At 35.1% G+C, this 23389-nt stretch overlaps 1 protein-coding gene, 1 long non-coding RNA gene and 2 pseudogenes across 4 annotated transcripts in view; 1 reads left to right on the top strand and 3 right to left on the bottom strand.

Moving 5' to 3' along the window:
- OR8G1 (olfactory receptor family 8 subfamily G member 1) overlaps positions 1-430 on the bottom strand; it is a 13270-nt gene extending 12840 nt beyond the window's left edge. The window contains exon 1 of the mRNA NM_001002905.2: positions 161-430. The gene's annotated coding sequence lies outside the window, so the exon portion shown is untranslated. The remainder of the gene's footprint in view (positions 1-160) is intronic.
- Positions 312-23389, top strand: LOC102724410 (uncharacterized). 2 transcript variants are annotated; one of them, XR_007062931.1, is made up of 3 exons: positions 312-373; positions 20911-21003; positions 21642-23389. It is a non-coding gene; the product is annotated as an uncharacterized LOC102724410 (long non-coding RNA). The 2 variants fall into 2 exon arrangements; XR_948128.1 differs by lacking the exon at positions 312-373 and adding an exon at positions 13397-13519.
- On the bottom strand, positions 1948-3103 carry OR8G7P (olfactory receptor family 8 subfamily G member 7 pseudogene; annotated as a pseudogene).
- Positions 15918-16793, bottom strand: OR8G2P (olfactory receptor family 8 subfamily G member 2 pseudogene; annotated as a pseudogene). The gene has a single exon (NR_171169.1). The product of NR_171169.1 is annotated as an olfactory receptor family 8 subfamily G member 2 pseudogene (transcript).

Genomic DNA, 23389 nt, shown 5'->3' with positions numbered 1-23389 from the left:
ACTAGCAAAGTGGCTGGCCCACTGAAGAGGGTTTAAAAGAGCATTTCATAAATAATTGAATAAGTAAAGATAATGAGGAATAATAGTTTCCTGATTTTTTGCAAAGATTATTTCCAGATCTAATAGTCTCAAATCACAAGTGATGGATGAAAACACTCACCTTTCCACTGCCTAAAAACTTCAATGCTTGATTTTACTTGCAATTTCCTCTTCCTGACATGGAGAATGTTGGCTTGGAATGTTCTCTTCCTGACATGGCATTAATGTTGGTGTTGAGAGTCATAGACACCCAGCATTCTGGAATCTTTAGTGTTGAGAGGGCAGGGCCCAGCCCTCAGTCTCAGAGTCACTTTGAAGCTGGTCTGCATCACAGGTCAGTATTTCTAATTATGACTTTGCAGTTTTTGTTTCTCCAGCTTCAGGGTGGCAAGCATCCTCACCTGAGCAGCTCTGATTGCTGTGCTATAAAGGCTTGCCCTGGGTTAAGATATGCGAGGTACCAAAAAACATGGAGACAAATACTCTCCCGGGATTTCCATTTCTCAGGGACCAAATTCTTGGAAAAAACCAGCAATTACACTTGACATTTCCCCAGTTGTCTAATTTTCCTGTAAACGAATTCCCTGTCAATTTTAAAATTGTCAATTGGTGGTAAATATTTGTGCACAAGGATTATCTCTGCTAAAATGCAGATTCTAATGCAATAGGTCTGAGTGGAGCTTGAAATTCTGCATTTCTTACATGCTTCTAATGTAATTTAGTTCACAGCACACACTGTGATTAATATACTTGAGAGGACTAGGCACATCCTGACAAGTTATCTTGTACTGATAATAAAGTTAAAAACTTTAAAATAACACACTTTTTATTTCCTTGCAAATAGACATATTTAGTTTTAATTTGTGTGTAAATAGGTAATTTATATAGTTGACTGAAAATTCAAATCTGTTTATAATTGTATTTCAGGAAGCATGGTGTAATAATTTAGGGATTGATATAATACTTAATTTTTGAGTTTCTTTGTTGATTTAAATTCTGCCTCCTAATTTTTATAACTGAAGAAAGTATTTAAGTTTTGGAGAAGTTAGTTTCCATATAAGTCCATATAAGTGCCCCACTTCTTACTTTTTATGGTTTTTCACTTTCTTCAAAATAAAATTAGATGAAATTTTATATTGAATGTGCATCAAATAAATGAAGGAATTGAAAAAGACTATATGGGAAGTTACATATTAGAAGCTCTGAAAAATCGTACAAAACACTAGGTTTGATTGTCTTTAAAGAGAATGAAGTAGGTCTAGATCAGTGATTTTACTATGGCTGCACATTTAAAATCAACAAGGAGTTTTTTTTCATAATCTCATCCTAGATTACAGCCCATGGCACATTGGACAATAAGCAGGCAGCACAAATTAGAATAGTAAAAGGCAAAGCAGTGGGCATACTGGAGTGTACAATCACAACACACACGTGGGTCTGCAACTTTGACTCTAAAGTTTTGAATAGGTTTCTGAAGTAAAAAAAAAAAATAATGGAAGAAATAAGGAAGACAAGTTTAGTTAGTTGAATCGGGCAGAAAAGAGACTGCTGCAGGCTAACATTGTGCAAAAACTAGAGATTACAACTAACACATTGTCATGATTTCTGTTATTTTTTGAATGGAAAGAATAAATGAGGTTGGTATCACTGTTGGAAGATGATATTTCCATTATGGTTGGAGACTGAGCTGAGTTTTTATCAACTGTGTATAATAAGAGAGGTAAGGGGGCAGGGATAGCATTAATTGATCTATGTATCCATGCTATTCTTAGTTTTTCTTCTAATTTGTGTCTCAATAATGCATATGACATAAAACCCCACATGGGAAATAGCATCAAAAGATGATGAGAAGAAGAAATAATGGTAATACAATCTCACCAAATGAGAAAAAATATTGACAGTTGCACTAAAATGAAAGACATCCGTTCATACAGTGTAACAGTCAACCACTTAAGTTTAATAAACCATCTTTTATTTCTGTTTACAGTAATGTTCTCTGCAGCATTTTCTCCAGGGAAACATTGACATCTTTATTCCTCAGGTTGTAGATCAGGGTGTTAAGCATTGGCACAACAGTAGTGTAACACGCAGAGGACTGGATACTTTCCATTACTACTCGGAGCTGACAGATGATAGCTACTGGTATATGAATATTGCAGACCCTAAAAGACCACATCCACCACCATGTGAGAGCCATAAATGCTAAAGACTTTGGAATTTCCTTCAGTGGAGCAAATATAGAAGATGCTGGCAATAATAAAGACGTAAGAGCTAAGGATGGTCAGGCTAGGGACTAAGATGTTAAATGCATGAACACACAGTATCAGTAACTTGTTAACATAGGTACTAGATCAAGAAGCTTAAGGAGAGGAGGAAAATCACAGAAATAATGATTGATCACATCAAATTTGCAGAATTGAACCCTAGACATGCAGCTGTATATTTGTATAAGCTGATGAACAAAACTGGGCCAATTATATAACACCTGTGAAAAATAATGTATTTTGATAGGGATAGCATGGAATCTGAACATTGCTTTGGGCACTTGCATGACTAGAACATGCATATACCAAACTTTAGCATCACACAATATAACCACATAATGACCCTATAATGTACCCCTGAATCCAAAATAAAGATACATAAATAAAATAATAATATAACACCCAAAATCGGGGGGAAAACAGGCCTGATAGGGCATGACGACAATATACAGCAAGGGGCTACAGATGGCAACGCAGTGGTCATACGCCATTGCAGCCAACACGTGACACTCTGCAATAGCAAAAATGAGGAAGAAGTAGAGCTGAGTCATGCATACAAGTAGGAGATGATGTTCTTCTCTGTCACAAAGTTCACCTGAAGAACAGACTGTTGAGGAAATAGTACATGGGGGTATGCAGGTGAGAACTGAGCCCAATCAATGTGATCATGCCCAGGTTCCCCAGTACTGTGACCATATAGATTCCCAGGAAGGCAAGGAAGAGGGGCAGCTGGAGCTCAGGCTCTTCTGTTAGCCCAACCAGAATGAACTCAGTCACTGAAGAATAATTTACTGCTTCCATTTTTTTCTGAGTAGTTTGTAAAGCGGCAAAAAAAGACATAGTATTTAGAGACACATCTTTGTTGTCCCTCAGTTTTTAAAGGTATCCCATATAGAAAATTATTGGTTTAGGTATCACTGTATTACTCTGTTTTCACACTGCTATGAATAAATACCCAAGACTGGGTAATTTGTAAAGGAAAGAGGTTTAATTAACTCACAATTTTGTATGGATGGGGAGGCCTCAGGAAACTTACAATCATGGTGGAAAGTGAAGGAGAAGCAGGTACCGTCTTCACAAGGCAGCAGGAAAAGAGGGAGGGAGAGCAAAGGAGGAACTGTCAAACACTTATAAAACCGTTAGGTCTCATGAGAACTTACTCAGTATCATGAGAACAGCATGGGGGAAACTGCCCCCATAATCCAATCACCCCCCAACCTGGTCCCTCCCTTGACACATGGGGATTACAATTCTAGATCGTATTTTGGTGGGGACACAAAGCCAAACTATATCAATCACCTTGGTTTCCATATAATAATTTTAACTCTAGATAGATTTACCTAAGTGATATTTGTGTTTTTTAAATGTTCTTTACATCTTAACCTAAAACATATCAAATTATTTTATAAAAAATATTTTAGTCATAATTTTAATCATTCTAAATCATTGAAGTATCTATTTTCTATTTTGAACACTTCAGTGATCCTTATAAACATCAGTTTTTCTTTTTATTTTATTTTATTTTATTATTATTATACCTTAAGTTTTAGGGTACATGTGCACAATGTGCAGGTTAGTTACGTATGTATACATGTGCCATGCTGGTGTGCTGGACCCATTAACTCGTCATTTAGCATTAGGTATATCTCCTAAAGCTATCCCTCCCCCCTCCCCCCACCCCACTACAGTCCCCAGAGTGTGATGTTCCCCTTCCTGTGTCCATGTGTTCTCATTGTTCAATTCCCACCTATGAGTGAGAATATGCGGTGTTTGGTTTTTTGTTCTCGTGATAGTTTACTGAGAATGATGATTTCCAATTTCATCCATGTCCCTACAAAGGACATGAACTCATCATTTTTTATGGCTGCATAGTATTCCATGATGTATATGTGCCACATTTTCTTAATCCAGTCTATCATTGTTGGACATTTGGATTGGTTCCAAGTCTTTGCTATTGTGAATAGTGCTGCAATAAACATACGTGTGCATGTGTCTTTATAGCAGCATGATTTATAGTCCTTTGGGTATATACCCAGTAATGGGATGGCTGGGTCAAATGGTATTTCTAGTTCTAGATCCCTGAGGAATGGCCACACTGACTTCCACAAGGGTTGAACTAGTTTACAGTCCCACCAACAGTGTAAAAGTGTTCCTATTTCTCCACATCCTCTCCAGCACCTGTTGTTTCCTGACTTTTTAATGATTGCCATTCTAACTGGTGTGAGATGGTATCTCTGATGCAAAAATCCTCAATAAAATACTGGCAAACCAAATCCAGCAGCACATCAAAAAGCTTATCCACCATGATCAAGTGGGCTTCATCCCTGGGATGCAAGGCTGGTTCAATACATGCAAATCAATAAATGTAATCCAGCATATAAACAGAACCAAAGACAAAAACCACATGATTATCTCAATAGATGCAGAAAAGGCCTTTGACAAAATTCAACAACCCTTCATGCTAAAAACTCTCAATAAATTAGGTATTGATGGGACGTGTCTCAAAATAATAAGAGCTATCTATGACAAACCCACAGCCAATATCATACTGAATGGACAAAAACTGGAAGCATTCCCTTTGAAAACTGGCACAACACAGGGATGCCATCTCTCACCACTCCTATTCAACATAGTGTTGGAAGTTCTGCCCAGAGCAATCAGGCAGGAGAAGGAAATAAAGGGTATTCAATTAGGAAAAGAGGAAGTCAGATTGTCCCTGTTTGCAGATGACATGATTGTATATCTAGAAAACCCCATTGTCTCAGCCCAAAATCTCCTTAAGCTGATAAGCAACTTCAGCAAAGTCTCAGGATACAAAATCAATGTACAAAAATCACAAGCATTCTTATACACCAATAACAGACAAACAGAGAGCCAAATCATGAGTGAACTCCCATTCACAATTGCTTCAAAGAGAATAAAATACCTAGGAATCCAACTTACAAGGGACGTGAAGGACCTCTTCAAGGAGAACTACAAACCACTGCTCAATGAAATAAAAGAGGATACAAACAAATGGAAGAACATTCCATGCTCATGGGTAGGAAGAATCAATATCGTGAAAATGGCCATACTGCCCAAGGTAATTTATAGATTCAATGCCATCCCCATCAAGCTACCAATGACTTTCTTCACAGAATTGGAAAAAACTACTTTAAAGTTCATATGGAACCAAAAAAGAGCCCGTATCACCAAGTCAATCATAAGCCAAAAGAACAAAGCTGGAGGCATCATGCTACCTGACTTCAAACTATACTACAAGGCTACAGTCACCAAAACAGCATGGTACTGGTACCAAAACAGAGATACAGATCAATGGAACAGAACAGAGCCCTCAGAAATAACGCTGCATATCTACAACTATCTGATCTTTGACAAACCTGAGAAAAACAAGCAATGGGGAAAGGATTCCCTATTTAATAAATGGTGCTGGGAAAACTGGCTAGCCATATGTAGAAAGCTGAAACTGGATCCCTTCCTTACACCTTATACAAAAATTAATTCAAGATGGATTAAAGACTTAAGCATTAGACCTAAAACCATAAAAACCCTAGAAGAAAACCTAGGCATTACCATTCAGGACATAGGCATGGGCAAGGACTTCATGTCTAAAACACCAAAAGCAATGGCAACAAAAGACAAAATTGACAAATGAGATCTAATTAAACTAAAGAGCTTCTAGAAACTACCATCAGAGTGAACAGGCAACCTACAAAATGGGAGAAAATTTTCGCAACCTACTCATCTGACAAAGGGCTAATATCCAGAATCTACAATGAACTCAAACAAATTTACAAGAAAAAAACAAACAACCCCATCAAAAAGTGGACGAAGGACAAGAACAGACACTTCTCAAAAGAAGACATTTATGCAGCCAAAAAACACATGAAAAAATGCTCACCATCACTGGCCATCAGAGAAATGCAAAACATCTGTTTTTCTAAGGTGATATTTACAGGCTTAAACTTAGAGAAGCCAGTGAAAATGATGGAAGCTGGCTGAGCAGCCACTCAGAAAGAGCAGCCCCAGATTCAATGCAGTATCCTTTATTAACTAGCAGCTAAGATCAACCGAGGTTCACAGAGACACATTACTGGAACATCTTTGGAGTTTTTAAATGATAATCAGCTAATTTGAATTTTTCCAGAAATCTTCAGATTTCACAACTGCTATTAAAATGAAACAGCACCAGAAGTACTCGGTTCAGAGCTACTAGCTGGAGTGTCCCACCGTTGGAGAGTTTGTGGCTCTTGGGTCAGATGATTTTTCTTTGCTTGAGAAAAGATGTTTACATAGTGTTAACTAAGCAAGACTCAAAGTCTAAGTGCCTGTTTTCATATTCTGCCCCCATGATTTACTAGCTAATAAGCTTGGGCAAGTAAAATAACATCATCTAATTAGTAATATTTAGCACTCTGAAAATAACAACAGTAATAATTGTTGTAACTTACAACAATCATCAGTTAGAAATTATGGGGCAATTACAAACTTGCAAATACAGAACCAACAATCATAATGTTTAAACTCTTCCCTTCATCTTTTTTCATTCGCTACCTAGGAGGGTGTGAAAGGCAGTCATAAAATAAGGGATAATGAATTATAAATGCAGTCCCTTATTATGTCAAGCAGTAAACACATGATTTTAAAAATCACTTCATGTGTCAAAGTAAAATTCCAAATATATTATACCTGAATTTAAAAAAGGAGGATCAAAAAATCTAAAATGTTCTACTCACACCTAAACAAATAATCAAAAAAACTTGAAATAAATCTTAAAACTAAGCATAAATACTAAATTATTAAACTTGTGAGGAAAAAAAAAACACTGAAGAAGATCTTCATTACTGGAGTGTCTAGGATTTCTTGAGAGAATACCCTCATACAAGCAAACTACCTATACAATATTGATAAATTATATTTTATCCAAATTAAAAAATACTCTTCAAAAGGCACCATTAAAAAATTAAGAGTAAGCCACAGACAATACATTTGTCCAACTGTGTACTATCATCTAAAATTTGTAAATAATGTTGACCAGATGATAATATAATAAATTAAAAAATAAGAAAACTATCTGAACAGATATATCATAGAAAACATACAAGTAGTTAATAATCACATAAAATGATACTAAAATCATTATTTATCAGGGAATTGAAACTTAAACCCATAATAACTACCAGTACACACACACATACGCTGAAATGACTAAAATATAAAAAAGAAAAAATAAAGAGAAAAACACAAACTAACAATCAAACAAAAACTTACAGTACTAATGTTTGACCAGGACATGGAGCAACTAGAGCTCTCATTCCTAGCTGGTGAGAAGGGATATAACATTGTCCAAACACTTTTGAAAACTCTTTGGCAACTTGAGAGAAAATTAATTCTATACATAGAAGATAACCAAACAATTCTATTCCTCAATATTTATGTACATAGAAACTTTATTACTAGCATCTCCAACTGAAAACAACCCGATTATTCAATCAATGAACAGATAAATGAATTATGGTATATGCATAGAATGGAACACTACTCATCAATAACAAGGAATCAATCACAGATACATGCAATGATGTGGATTACTCTTGAAAAGGTCATGTTGAGCAAACAGAACAAGACATGAGTACACATTGTGCAATACCATTCATATAAACCTGTAGAACAGCACAATTAATCTGTGGTGCTAGAAGGTCAGAGGCTGACTCTAGAAGAATATAGGAGATTGGGAAGGGGCATGGGAACCTTTGGGATGATGAAAATGTTTCAGTAATGAAGTGTTAGTTTCACCAGTGTATAGTATATGCATTGGTCAAACTCATTTAGTTTGACACATGACTTTTACACTTTAAATGGATGCTTTCATTCTTGATGTAATCTTGATAAACTTATATCTTTATATAATCCCTATTAAATATGAAATTAATAATTAATCTTTATTTTAAAATGTATATAACACAAATCAGCAAAGATAAAGAATACTTGAGCAAGATTCATAAATGTGAATATCTACCTACCTATATATACTTATCATCTCACATCAGTCAACAACTAGATATTATACTTTTTGAGACCATATGAAACCTTTACAGAATTACTTATATGCCAGAGTATTTATTTTCTATATTCACAAAAAAAGGTAATACATAATTTTCCATTCTTGTAATTTTTTTAAAAACTGAATTTGTAAAAGATTAGAAGATATTCTCTTTCTAAATCTGGAATAGTTGGCATAAAAATTACCTTAAATGTTTGGAAGTATTCACTAGTGAAGTGATGTAGATCTTTGACATTCTTTTTGTTTAGATTTCAAGTAACAGATTAAATTTCTTAAATAGCTATCAATTATTCAGATTTTGTCTTTCTTTTCAACTCTTTTAAACTGATACTTCAAGACATTTACCCATTTTGAAAATTACTAAATGGTTTTCATACTATTTTTTTCACTTTTTAAAATATTTGTGGGGTATGCAATCTTTTCTATTTCTTTATTCCAGAAATCAGATATTTATAGTTTATTTTTTCTCTTGATTATTCATGTTAGTAGTTTTATTAATAAATTTTATTAAAAATTTTACGTTACATTGATTTTATGAATTTTGTGTATATTTTATATTTAAACTATTCTTAACAATTTTATTATTTCATTTTCTTTATAGATTTTTTGGTTTGCTTTCCTTTTTCCTAAATTCTTTAAATAAAGCTTAAATGATTATCCCAATCATCCTTCTTTTTTGAACATATACATATAAGGTATAGATTTCCTCAAAGGCACCTCTTTAGCTGCATCTTACATGTTTTAATGTTTTAAATTGTAACTATAATTTAGTTTAAGTATTTTTTCAATTATTTTTGTCCTATATTTAAAATGTATTTTAAATGTATTATTTTTATATTTTAATATATAAATGTTATATATTTGAAAAAATACGTTATTAAGTTGTAGAAAATTAGGCTTCAAAAATATTTTAATTTTATTGTGGTCAATAAACACATATTATTTACTTTTTGAAAGTTGTTGTAGTTTTATAAATCTTACAATATATGATCCATTTTTGTGAATGTTTCAAATGCATTTGAAAAAATGTTTTTTGCTCTTTCAGAGTTGTTTGGTCTATATATGTGAGTTACATGTAATTCATTATTGTGGTTTTCATATTTTACATCCATAGTGGTTTTATTTTTGGTCTTCTGTTTGAAGAGTTATTGACAGGCCGAGTGTGGTGGCTCATGCCTGTAATCCCAGCACTTTGGAAATCCGAGGCAGGTGGATCACGAGGTCAGGAGATCGAGACCATCCTGGCTAACACAGTGAAACCCCGTCTCTACTAAAAATACAAAAAATTAGCCGGGCGTGGTGGCGGGCACCTGTAGTTCCAGTTACTCGGGAGGCTGATGCAGGAGAATGGCGTCAACCTGGGAGGCGGAGCTTACAGTGAGCCGAGATCGTGCCTGGGTGACAGGGCGAGATTCCGTCTCAAAAAAAAAAAAAGAGTTATTGACGGAGGAATATATATTAAAGTATCCCACAAATATTTGATTTGTCTATTTCTAAATATATTTCATAATTTTTACAAAATTTTGGGGCCGTATATATATATTTCTATATAGCTTTGGGTCATATAGAAATTTAGGGTTCTGAGATCTTTGTTTTAGGTAATCTTGGACTGAACCATATATCATTATGGAATGTTTCCCTAATATATAGTAATGCATCATGCTTTAAGTTTCTATGCCTATTATTAGAATATCAAAGCCATTTTTACTTGGTTAGTGCTTGCATAGCATATCACTTTCAATTCTTTGCTTTTGAACATTTCTATGTCTTCATATTAAAATATATCTTTTTAAGATGCAACAAATACAAATAAAAGATTTTTTAAAAATCACGTCACTTAAAATAGCAATAATTTGGAATCAAATACCTAGAAATAAATACACCAAATTGTATTATGTCTGTATATTGAAAACTATAAATTATTAAAAAATGTAAGAAAATCTTAATAATAGGAGATATTTACCATGTTCGTGAATTAGAAGACTCAATACTATGAAGATATCAAGTCTTCCCATATTCATCTATACATTCAATGTGATCCAAATCGAAATTTTGTAGAATTTTTAGTGGATTGCCATAAATTTCACATGGAAATGCATATAGCCCAAAATATCCACAACAACCTTGAAAAACAAAGCTGTATAAATCACGCTATCATATGTTATTGGCACATTATAAGACAAGATGGTGTCTTATTGGTGTAAGGATAGATTAGTAGAGCAAAATTTAGAATTCAAAACCAGATTTATATACATATCCAGATATCTGATTTATGACAATGGTGACCCCATCATGAAGTGACTAGACCAGTGTTTCAATAAATGAAACTTGTAATAGACTATCAATCTAAATAGCCTGTGAAGGATGAGCTTTTATGCTGTATATTCCTTACTCCTTATATCTGAACCAACTTAACATCCACATATGGAATCAGTAAATGCCTTCCTTTCTGAATTCAGTTTGTCTGAACTCAAAGGAATTTTATGTCAAAGCCAATGTTTAAGTTACTTAAGATGGATATGGCATAGGTACAGCTCATCTTCAAATTATACAGGCAAGTGGCACAGGCTCTCATAACATGTTTGTGGATAAGCTATAGTTATGTGGGCTAGTTGCTTTACAGTCAGATGTAAAAGAACATACTTGAACACAGAGGGTTAATTAACTCAAAGATTTCCAGATATGGCTGATAATCAGCATCATCTAGGGAGATAATAGTATGTACAAAAATGAATGTAAAACTCTTACCATAATTATAACAAACCCCCAAAATTCCTGTGTTACCTTCCCTATGCTCTTAGTCCTATTCCCCAAAGACAGCTTTCTCTCTATAGAACAGCTCCAACAAAGAGCTTCTGTTTCTAGTTCTTCTGAAGGCTACCCCCATACCTCTACATAATTTCCTCATATTGCTTTTTTTCAGAATTATCAACTTTGAACATTAACTCGACTTTCTAATATATGTGGAGTTACTTTAGTTAAATCATTACCACCACCTACCCTCTCTTCCAATATTTATCTTGTATTTCATTTTCATTCCTCTTTCACTTGCTTCTGGAAATGTAAAAATATTCTCAAAACTATTTATTCATCAATTTTCAAAGTTTTCTCAACTCATCTAGAGAAATTCCCAATACAGACTTCTTAATCCAAGAACAGAACTAGTGATTAGATCATTTTAAAGATCTAAATGTTCAAAAGTCAAAATAATTTAAAGCAAGAAAACAAAGTATCAACTAATTGTGATGAATAGCTAACTGTGGGAATGATAGGATTAAGAAACCAAAGTCAAAGTAGTTGCCTGCTTCAAGTGAAGAGCTTGAGAACCTCTATCTTTTCTCTTCTAGTCTTCATTTTCTTCCTTCTATCCTTTCCTTCCTCCCTACCTTCTTTCCTTACTTTTCTTGATTCATCTCTTCCTGTCTTTCTTTCTTCTGTTTTTTCTTACCTTAATTGTAAAGATAATACTTGTGAATACAACTAGAAATAAGCAGTTGAGACTTCAATTCTTTGTGAAATTTTCCTTTGCTCATTTAAGCTTGCACTTGGAGATTGCTAATCCCCCATGGTAAGTATGTTGCACACCAAGTGGCCAACAAAACCTCTCATGTTACTGTAATCTGGGCCCAAAAAGACTACACCTACTGGGCAAGTAGATCCAGGCCCAAAACAGCTAAAACAAATAAGTTGAAATTTAGCAGTGCAAAGATTTAAATTCTAAATTTACTTTAAAAAAACAATTTTTTTGCATACTGTATATGTTTTGGGTGCAACTCACATGAAAAAAACAGGGCTGAGTTTTTCGTTAACTCATTAAGCCAATAAAGTAAATGGTTGGTTAATAAATTGGTTTGTTTTAGATTGCAATTATATGAATATATTATCTAGAATATGATGGGCAATAATCCACATAAAAGCCATAACAAGTCCATAACACGAAGACTCCGTAAATAATAGGGAGTCCGTAAGTAACAGGAAGTCCATAACAGGGAGACTCAAGTCTTCCTGACATGAGTTCTATGGAACTGGAATACCGTGAGTGGAACATAACTGTGCTAAGTTCTTGTGCCACAGAAATATTACCATTTTCTATGTGTGCAATGAAGCTGGGAAGCACTCTGCTACACTTACATTATATTTAAAGTTTTGTTTTTATTATTAATGTCCTTTGTAAGGAGGGACATAGACAAAATGAAAGGGACACAGAAGCTGTGAATAACTTGGAAATATTCAAAGGTAATAGGATAATTAGCGTGCGTTGTCTTATATCAAAAGGGAATCAAAAGGGAAGAAAACTTCTTTCATATGCGGTGTTTGGAATATTGAAGGCTGTGTCTTTTACTAGATATGAGGGAAAGGTTCTAACAATTTGAGTTCTTAAAAATGGAACTAGGTACTTTTCCTAAATCATACAATACACTCATCTATAAAACAGAGGAAAATCTACTTTTGGGGACACTGAAAAAACGGATCTTCTTCACTGTTTTTAAGATAAAGAATGAATATACCTACTACCTCTTTCTATTCTCCAGACCTAGTTCACATCTGCTTCCTTCCAGTTTCTGGAATATACCATATCATCTTAGAAATCTGAATCTTTATTTATGCTTTCTTTCAGGTTAAATAGTCTTACTAAATCCTATCCCTCAATTGCCTGGTGAAATTTTATTTCTTCTAAGTGTCATTTAAAAATTACACCATCGGAAAAACATTTCCAATTTGTTGGGATAGATTAGACCTTCTGAATACAAGCTTTCCTCCTCGCCCTCGCCCTTGCCCGCCCGCTCGCCTGCCTGCCTGCCTGCCTGCCTGCCTGCCTGCCTTCCTTCCTTCCTTCCGACTTGGTCTCACTCAGTTGCCCAGGTTAGAGCAGGGCAGTGGTGTGATCATGCTTCATTGCAGCCTCGCCCTGGTTGAACCTGGCTAAATCTACCCTTCCACCTCAACTTCCTGAGTAGCTGGGACTACAGATGTGCACCACCATGTCCCGTTATTTTCTTTTTCTTTTTTTTTTTTTTTTTGTAGAGATGCAGTTTCGCCACGTCACCTAGGCTACACCACCTATCATTTCTAACAGTACAACTTGAGACTGTGAGCTGTACTATAAGCCAGAAGACAGACCAACTCAAACTTATCTTCCTCTTTATCCAAAGTAAGAGTACAGTGTCTGGAACATCAAAGGCACTTTAAAATATTTTATGAATGAATGAATGTATAAAGCAGGATGTTTAACTGGATTTTTACAGCAATTACCTCCAGACCTAATAGTCTCAAATCACAAGTGTGAGCAGAACACCACAGTCACCTTTCCTCTGCTTGAAAACTGCAATGCCAAATTTTACTCATAACTTATTCTCTTCAATTTGGAGAACAATTACACTAGTGTTGGTGTTGAGAGTTGTATGTACTCAGTATTCTGCTATCTTTAATGCTGAGAGGGCAGGGCACAACCCTTTGTCTAGTCTCAGAACCACATTTGAAGTTGGTCTGCATCACAGGTCAGCCTCCACAATTGTAACTTTTCAAGTTAGGTTTCTCCAGCATCAGGGTAGCAAATATCCTCACCTTTGACAGTTATGATGGTCTGATGGATGTGCTATAAAGATATATCTTAGATTTAGATATGACAACATAGAGACAAATACCCTCAAGATTTCAATTTCTCAGAGAAATAAGTTTTTGAGAAAAGACGCAGTTACGTTTGGCATTTCCTCAGTAGCATAAGTTTTTCATTCACGTCCATCTGTCTTCCATATTGACATATGTGACATTATTAGCATGCAAAACTAATTGTGTTCACTTTCCTGCTTAAAAACTTCTAGCAGTTCCCCACACTAAAATGAGGAGTGATGTCTTATAATGATCAGGGTTGGTTCATGAACTGTTTCTGCCTCCTCTCTATCCTTGTAGCATGATTGTATTACCCTGAATATGACATCCCTTCTGGGGCTGCACAAGCTTCTGCCATTTCCTTAATGAGACTGCCACCTTTTAATTAGTCTGTATTTTCTATATGAGCTCAAGCCCCAGTGATTCAAAGGTCTATGCAACAGCACGCTTTTTGTTGGTCCCCATTTCACTTATTTGCATATATGACAATGTGTTGGACAGAGCACTGGACTCAGAATCATGCCTAACACAAGAGTTGTAATTGTGGCCAACTTCCCTTACATTATATAAATGATGAAAATTGAGGGAAATAATGTGAGAGGAACTCTGAGAATGAATATCTGATTGCAATGAATAACGGAATACAAGGGAGATAAAAATATATAGGTTTGTCCTATACTTAGAAACTATATAGTCAACATTGAAACTTCTTATATCAGCTGAATAATGCAAAACAGCATCCAAAGACTATTGACCTGCCAACAATGAGTAGGAAAGTTTGAACTGGGGAGAGACACAAGGCAATTATTTAGAATATCATGGAAATTCACACTTACAAGATGTTAAATTCTGAGAAGCAGAAAGATAATAACCTGGGGGCCAAGAAGATTTTTTTAAAGAAAATTGATATAAAATGACAATGGTTTGTAAATTATAAGGCAAAAAAGTATGAACCACATGGAAACAATGCAACTTAGAAGAATTTACGGCTGTCATGAGTTGCCTCATAAACAGCCAAAGCATTACTGACATAAAGATGAGGCAATGTTGTGTGGGTTGTTTTTATACAAAATTGTTGCTATCAAGTATAATAATATTATAAATATCTATAGTGTATGTCTATAATAAAACCATAATAATTTTCTGGTTTTGATCTATTTTTCATTGATCAATACAAATTTGGAAGACTTTGATTATGTTTATTATAGCAAATGAAACAAAAGTAAATTATCCTGGAGCTATCCAGAGGACAGCGATGCAGTCATGTTGGGAACTGGGGAAGCTTGATGTTTGGAAGGGATTTCTCAGGAGTCCTTACACCTATCCACAAGTAGCTGGACCAAGTATCACTTTGAATAGTATCACAAGTCCTTAAGCCAAACTTTCTACTCTCAATGACTTCTTAGGTTTGGGGCTCTGAGCATTCACTCAAAAAATAAGCCTTATTTACTTATTGGGAAATAATACTACAGCTTCCCCTGAAGGAATACTGTAAATATTAAATAAAATTATCCACTTAAATGTTAGGACACAGTGCTTGCTATTTCATCACATCTGAATGATATATGCCACTACTAGCATCTTCATTATCATCTTATTGTGATTATCATTGTTGTGCGCATTGTTATTTTTATTATTAATGAAATGATAAAAATATGGCTTCTTTAAACCTCAAGAGTTTTGATTTTATTTTTAGTATTTCTCCACACATACTCATTGGAATATACGTTCAATGGAAGTAGACTGAAGGAATATTTTGGAGGTGTGTTACATAAAAGAGCATCACTATATTTTGATAAATTTGCACAATAAATCTAACATATTACATATCTAATCAAACTGAAAGCCTGTTTTGATATGACAACATGGCAATAATTGGATTCATGAACATGCTTTGCTGTCCAGATTTTTCTTCAGGGCAAATTTGACATCCTTATTTCTTAGGCTATAGATTGGGGGTTCAGCATGGGCACAATAGTAGTATAAAACACAGAGGACACTTTCCTCTGGTCCATGGAGCTGACAGATGATGGCTGCAGGTACATGAATGCTGCAGACCCAAAGAAAACAGCAACAGCCAAGATGTGGGAGCTGCAAGTGCTGAAGGCTTTGGACCTGCCCTCAGTGGAGCGAATGCGGAGGATGCTGGCAATGATAAAGATGTAAGAAGCAAGGATGGTTAAGGCAGGCGTCAGGATGTTAAATGCACTCAAGACCAGAACCAGTAATTCATTGATGTAGGTGCTGGAGCAGGAGAGCCCCAAGAGAGGGAAGAGATCACAAAAATAATGGTTAATCACATTAGTCTTGCACAAAAAGAGTCTCAACATAAAGCCGGTGTGAATTGTAGATCCAAGGATGCCTAAAACGTAAACTCCCACTGTGAGCCAGAAGCAGTGGTGATAGGACATGATGACATTGTACAGCAAGGGGCTGCAGATGGCAACATAGCGGTCATATGCCGTTACAGCCAACATGTGACACTCTGCAATAGCAAAAATGAGGAAGAAGTAAAGCTGAGTCATGCATTCAGGGTAGGAGATGATGTTCTTCTCTGTCACAAAGTTCACCAGCATTTTGGGGGTAATGATAGTGGAATGGCAGAGATCAATGAAGGACAGACCACTGAGGAAATAGTACATGGGGGTATGCAGGTGAGAACTGAGCCCAATCAGTGTGATCATGCTCAAGTTGCCCACCACTGTGACCACATAGATTCCTAAGAACAGGAGGAAGAGGCGCAGCTGGAGCTCTGGCTGTTCTGAGAGCCCAGCCAGAATGAACTCAGTCACTGAGGAATGGTTTCCTGCTGACATTTTCCTTTGGTCAGTTTCTACGGAGGAAAGAAAAACCATGGTGTTTGTAGGGATTGAGTTGCTATTCTACTTTTGGAGGAGGGTATCCCATGCTGAGGATTCATGATTTAGATGACTTTGGTTTATATATAATAATTTAACTCTGGGTAAATTAGCTAAGTAATATTTTTATTAATTAAATATTTTATAGCTTAATATCAAATAGTTGTTTTTTATATAAAATATTTCAGCCATAATTATTATCATTTAAGAATTTTAATTGCTACTCTCTGGGTTGAACATTCCAAAGATTTCAAGTCAACTTTTCTGAGCTGTTTTTCGCACACTTAAAAACTTACAAGGGCTAATGAAAATGATGGAAGCTGGCTGAGCTGCCACTGGGAGAGAGCAGACCTGCATTCAGTACGGTGTCCTTTATTAACGAGCAGAGAAGTTCTGCCAAGGGTAACAGAGGTGCATTATGGCTACATCTTTGGAGGATTTTAATGATAATCAGGCAATTTAGGTTTCTATTAAAAATTATCAGATTTTCAGTATTATTATTAAAATGAAATGGCACCAACAAGATTCATGATACAGATCTACCAGTGGAATTGTCCCACTGCAGCAGTGTTATGGCTCTTGGACCAAATATTACACCTCTGCCTTTGTTGGAGGAAAACAGTGGGAGTAGCGGCTAAATAAAAAATCCTTAATATCAAAGTGCCTGTGTTCATATTCTGATCCTCTCATTTACCAGTTGATAAGTGTGGACAATTAAATTAACATCATCATCTAATTAGCAGATATTTAGCACTCTGAAAATGACAACAATAATTGTTTTCGTTGTTGTTCCACCATCCATCAATTGGAAAATGAGGGATATTTATATACTTCAAAATACAAAAATAGTAAACATGATGTTCACACATTTTCATTAATCTCTTTCCTCTTTCTTTAATTAGGAGTGTGCCAAAGATGGAGTTATAAAATTAGGAAATATATAAATGTAGCCTCTGTTATGCACTAAACAAAAGATTTTGTCATTTGATACATTAATGTAAAATTCCAAATAAGTCATACTTGAATTTTAAATAAAGTAGAAACAGAAAATCTAAAATCTTCTATCTCACACCCATGCAAACAAGAATATTGAAATAAATCTTAAATTTAAGCATAAACAATAAACTATTAAACTTTAGGAAAAAACACTAGAGGAAAATTTCAATATAGTGGAGTAATCCAATTAGATTCCTTAGGACATATATGCACACATGAATTAGCCATATAACATTGATAAATCCTTTTTTATCCTAATTAAAAGCACATCTCCAAAGGTACCATTAAAAAAGCACAAGATTATGTCCATTGCAGGGACATGAATGTATTATCCTTAGCAAACCGACACAGGAACAGAAAACCAAATACCATATGTTCTCACTTCTAAGTGGGAGCTAAATGATTTGAACACATGACCACTTGGACACATAGAGGGGGACAACACACACTGGGGCCTATCAGAGCCAGTGGAAGGTGGGAGGAGGGAAAAGATCAGGAAAAGTAACTCACGGGTACTGGGTTTAATACCTGGGTGATAAAATAATCTGTACAACAAACTCCCCTGACACAGTTTACCTATGTAACAAACCTGCACATATACCTCTAAACTTAAAATAAAAGTTAAAAAAAGAAAATTAAGAGTAAGCCACAAAAAATACGTATATCTGACTATGGCCTTTTATGTAAATATATACAAATAATATCAACATGTCAATGATACAAAGACAATAGACCAAATTAAAATATAAGAAAAGTATTTGTATAGATGATATATGACAGAAGATATGTAAATAGTTGATAAGCACGTAAAAAGATACCAAATTCATTATTCATCAGGAAAATTACATACCACTACACAGCCACATGGAAATGGCTAAAAATTATAAAAGAAAGAAAAAACAAAATAAACAAAAACTTACAGTTCCAAAGTTTGCCAAGGATATGGGATAACTCAAGCTCTCACACATAGCTGGTGAGGAGAGGTGTAAAACCGTACAACTACTTCGGAAAACTGCTTGGCAATATCTTAGAAAGTTAATCATATACTTAGATTATAACCCAACAATTCTGCTATTCAGGGTTTACTCAAGAGAAATGTAAACATGTATCTACACAATGACATGTACAAACATGTACCTGGAAGCCTTGTTACTAACAACTCCAAACTGGAAACAACCCAAATATTCATTCATTTATTCAATAACCATTGAATAAATGAATGAATTGTGGGATTTGCATAGAATAGAACACTACTCATCAATAACAAGGAATAAATCACAGATATATGCAACAATATGGATTAATCTTCAAAACATCATGTTAAGCAAAAAGCCAGACAAAAAAGAGCACATATTGTACAATTCCGTTCATACGAACTTGTAGAACAGCAGAACTAATTTTATGGTGATAGAAATGAGGTCAGTAGCTACTGTAGAATGACTAGAAAGGAGCACGGGAAATCTTCAGGGATGATAAAAATGTTTCAATAAGGAAGTGTTGATTTCACCAGTTTATAGTGTATGCATCTGTCAAAACTCATTTAGGAGTTTTACACTTAAAATGGGTACTTTTATCCTTAATGTAATCTAGATAAAATTACATTTTGATATACTCTTATAAAGTATTAAATATAATAAATTAATAAAATTATTTTCAAAATAAAAACCCTAATAATCGGCAAAGATAAAGGAGGTCTGAATGAGAGTCATAAATTTGAAGATAATCATATGTATGTATAGCTGTATACACATACACACACACACGATCTTACGGCATGCAACAACTAATGACACAAATTCTTTTTAAGGTCACATGGAACCTTTACAGAATTATTTATATGCTGGTTCATAAAGCAAGGCACAATATTTTCCCAGACATTTTCACTGTTCTTCACATTTAAGAATGTAATAACACCAATCTTACAGATTTTCTTCTAAAATACAGAAAAAGCACATAGAAAATATCCAAAAGTAATAATAAATAAAAAGCCTCTTAGCAAACTAGGCATAGGCAGTAAGTTCTTGGAGCTGCCTAAAAAGCACATATAGCTGCCAGGCATGGTGGCTCATGCCTGTAATCCCAGCACTTTGGGAGGCCGAGGCAGGTGGATCACTTAAGGCCAGGAGTTTAAGACCAGCCTAGCCAACATAGTGAAACCCCTCACTACTAAAAATACAAAACAGTAGCTGAGTGTGGTGGTGCACGCCTGTAATCTCAGTTGCTGAACTGGCTGAGGCAAGAGAATCGCTTGAACCCGGGAGGTGGAGATTGCAGTGAGCCGAGATAGCGCCACTGCACTCCAGCCTGGGTGACAGAGCGAGACTCAGTCTCAAAAATAAAAAAAAAAGAATAAAGTATGACAATCTATGCTACCTCTTGCAATTCTCCAGACCTAGTTCACATTTGGTTCCTTTCCATTTCTGGAATATGTCATATTTTCTTAGCTATCTGAACATTTATTTGTGCTTCCTTTCAGATGAAATAGTCTTACTAAATCCTATCCCTCAATTGCCTGGTGAAATTGTATTTCTTCCAAGTCTCATTTAAAAATTACACCATCAGGAAGACATCTGCAACTCACTGGAATAGATTGACCTTCCTAACACAAGCTTAGAAAGCAACCTATTATTTCTAACACAATGCAATTGTACACTGTGAGCTAAACTATAAGACAGATGTAAGACTAACTTAAACTTCTCCTCTTCTTTAACCCAAGTAACCAGCATCTGACACATCAAAGGTGCTTAAAAATATTTTATGAGTGAATGAAAGAATGAATGAATGTTTTTAGAGGGATCTTTGAATTTTGACAACAATTACTTCAGGCCTAATAGTTTTAAATCACAAGTGTGAGATGACCGCAGTCACCTTACCTCTGCTTGAGAAATGCAATGCCAAATTTTACCTGCAACTTACTCTCTTTGACTTGGAAAAGAATGGCACTAATGCTGGTGTTGGGTGTTTCTACTATCTTTTGTGCTGAGAAAGAGGGCAGGGCACATCCCTCAGTCTGGCCTCAGAAGCTGGTCTACATCACAAATCAGCATCCACAATTGTAACCTTTCATTTTTTTCTGCAGCACCAGAGAAGCAAATATCCTTGCCTTTGACAGTCGCCGGAGCAGTTCTGATGGCTGTGCTATAAAGCTATGTCCTTGGTTTAAACACATCAGGTACCAAATAACATGGAACAAATATTCCACAGAGATTTCCATTTCTCAGGGAAGCTAGCTCTTGAGAAAAGAAGCAATTACAGTTGACTCTCTAGTGGCCTTTTTTTTTTTCCTCAAGTGAGATTATCTGTCAATCCTAAACTTATCAATTAGTGATAAAGTTTTGTGTGCAGGGATTACCTGAGCATTTTGTTAACATATAGACACTGATCCTGCAGGTCTGAGTGGGGTCTGAGATTCTTCACTTCTTATAGCCAGTGCTATTGGTTCACAGCCTACACTATAATGAGCAGGTTTCAGAGCACCAGGCATATCCTGACAAGTTATCTTACTGCTAATAGGACTAGATAATACTACATAACCAATTAAGCCACCTATTTCCTTGTGCAAAAATGTTTAATTTATTTTATGTATAAACAGGTATATACTTGATTCAAAAGTAAAATCTATATATACTTGGATTTTAAGAGATATGGGGTAGGAATTCATAATATTGATATAGTACTTAACTTTTTTAAGATCCCTTAATAATATTTTTCCTGCATTAATTCGAATATTTAGATATTTTATTTTTAGCTTCCTATGTTCCATGTTCCTTCTTATTTCTTATATATTTTTCCTGTTTTTCTCTAACATAGGAATAATTGGATGCAGTCTTCACAGAATAAATCAAGGTAAATTTGGACACTCATATCAAAGTAGAGATAAATACATTAGGTTCAATTCTACTTAAAGAAGTCGATGATTGGACTATATTCATCTTTCTCAATTATTACTGCATATTTAAAACCAAGGGATTTTTAAAATACAATATTAGATGTCCTCCGCATATCACTTCAAAATCTTGGGATCTGAAGTCAGATACCGGCATTTCTTAAAAGCTTATCACACTGGGGATCCTCTTCAAATGCAGATTCTGATTTGGTAAGTTTGATACATAGCTTCAGATTTGCACTTTTAAGCATCTGTCAAGTTTTGCCAATGCTGCTGGTGTATGGACCACTCTGTGAATTGAGGTGTTCCATGATATCTCATATTAAATCCTTCCCACAAAAATTTTTTCAGAGTGCAGCAAGTTCTTTCATATCATGTATCAGAGAGCTTCTATTTAGCTTTAGAATTACAATGCCTGCAGGATTCTGAGATGTCTATAACAAATTATGATGTATTTGGATCACCACTTCACAGGAGAGCAGACTATGACTAACTATTACATCAACATGATAAATAATAGGAGTGAGAAATAGTTGAAGCTTGGTTGAGATGATAAATGGGAATGCTATCAATAGGCCTTTTCATAAGTAATTATACAATAATGAGAATCACTGAGAGACTGATTTAAACATGGTATTGGAATAAAACATTCAGATAGACCTGAAATAAATTTGTACATCTGTAGTGAACTCATTTTCTACAAAGGTGACAAGAAGATACATTGGAACTAAAGGACATTCTTTTCAGGAAATGGTGCTGGGAAAACTAAATATCAACATGCAGAAGAATGAAACTTGACCCCTATGTTTTACCATATGCAAAAATCAAATTAAAATGGATTAAATGCTTAAATCTAAGACCTCAAACTAGGAAGCTACTACAAGAATACATTGGAGAAACTTTCCAGGACATTGAAGTGGGAAAAGATTTCTTGAGTAATACTCACAAGCACAGGCCAAAGCAAAAATGGACAAATGGAATCACATCAAGTTAAAAAGCTTCTTCACAGCAGAAGACAATCAACAAAGTGAAGAGAAAATCCATAGAATGGGAGAAAATATTTGCGAACTACTCATCTGATAGTGGATTAATAACTAGAGTGTATAAGGAGCTCAAACAACTCTATAGGAAAAAAAACTCATAATCCAACTAAAAATGGGCAAAAGATTTGAATAGACATTTCTCACAAGAAGATATACAAATGGCAAACAGGCATATGAAAAGATGCTCAACATCACTGATCATCAGAGAAACACCAATCAAAACTATAATGAGATATCATCTCACCCCAGTTAAAATGGCTTTTATCCAAAAGACAGGCTTAACAAATGCTGATGAAGATGTAGAGAAAAGGATACCCTTGTACACTCTTGGTGGGAATGTAAATTAGCACAATCTTTAGGCAGAATAGTTTGGAGGTTCCTCAAAACACTGAAAGTAGAGCTACCTTACAATCCAGCAATCCCACTCGTAGTATACACCCCAAAGAAAGGAAATCAGTATGTTGAAGAGACATCTGCACTTCTATGTTTACTGCAGCACGATTCACAATAGCCAAGATTTGGAAGCAACCTACGTGTCCATTAGCAGACAAATGGATAAAGAAAATGTGGTACATATACACAACGAAGTACTATTCAACCATAAAAAAGAATAAGATTTTGTCATTTGC

This window comes from Homo sapiens, chromosome 11, assembly GCF_000001405.40.
Source record: "Homo sapiens chromosome 11, GRCh38.p14 Primary Assembly".
Classification (NCBI taxonomy): Eukaryota; Metazoa; Chordata; class Mammalia; order Primates; family Hominidae; genus Homo; species Homo sapiens.
Note: the sequence above shows the minus strand (reverse complement) of the source record. Positions and strands in the feature narration are given on the sequence as shown.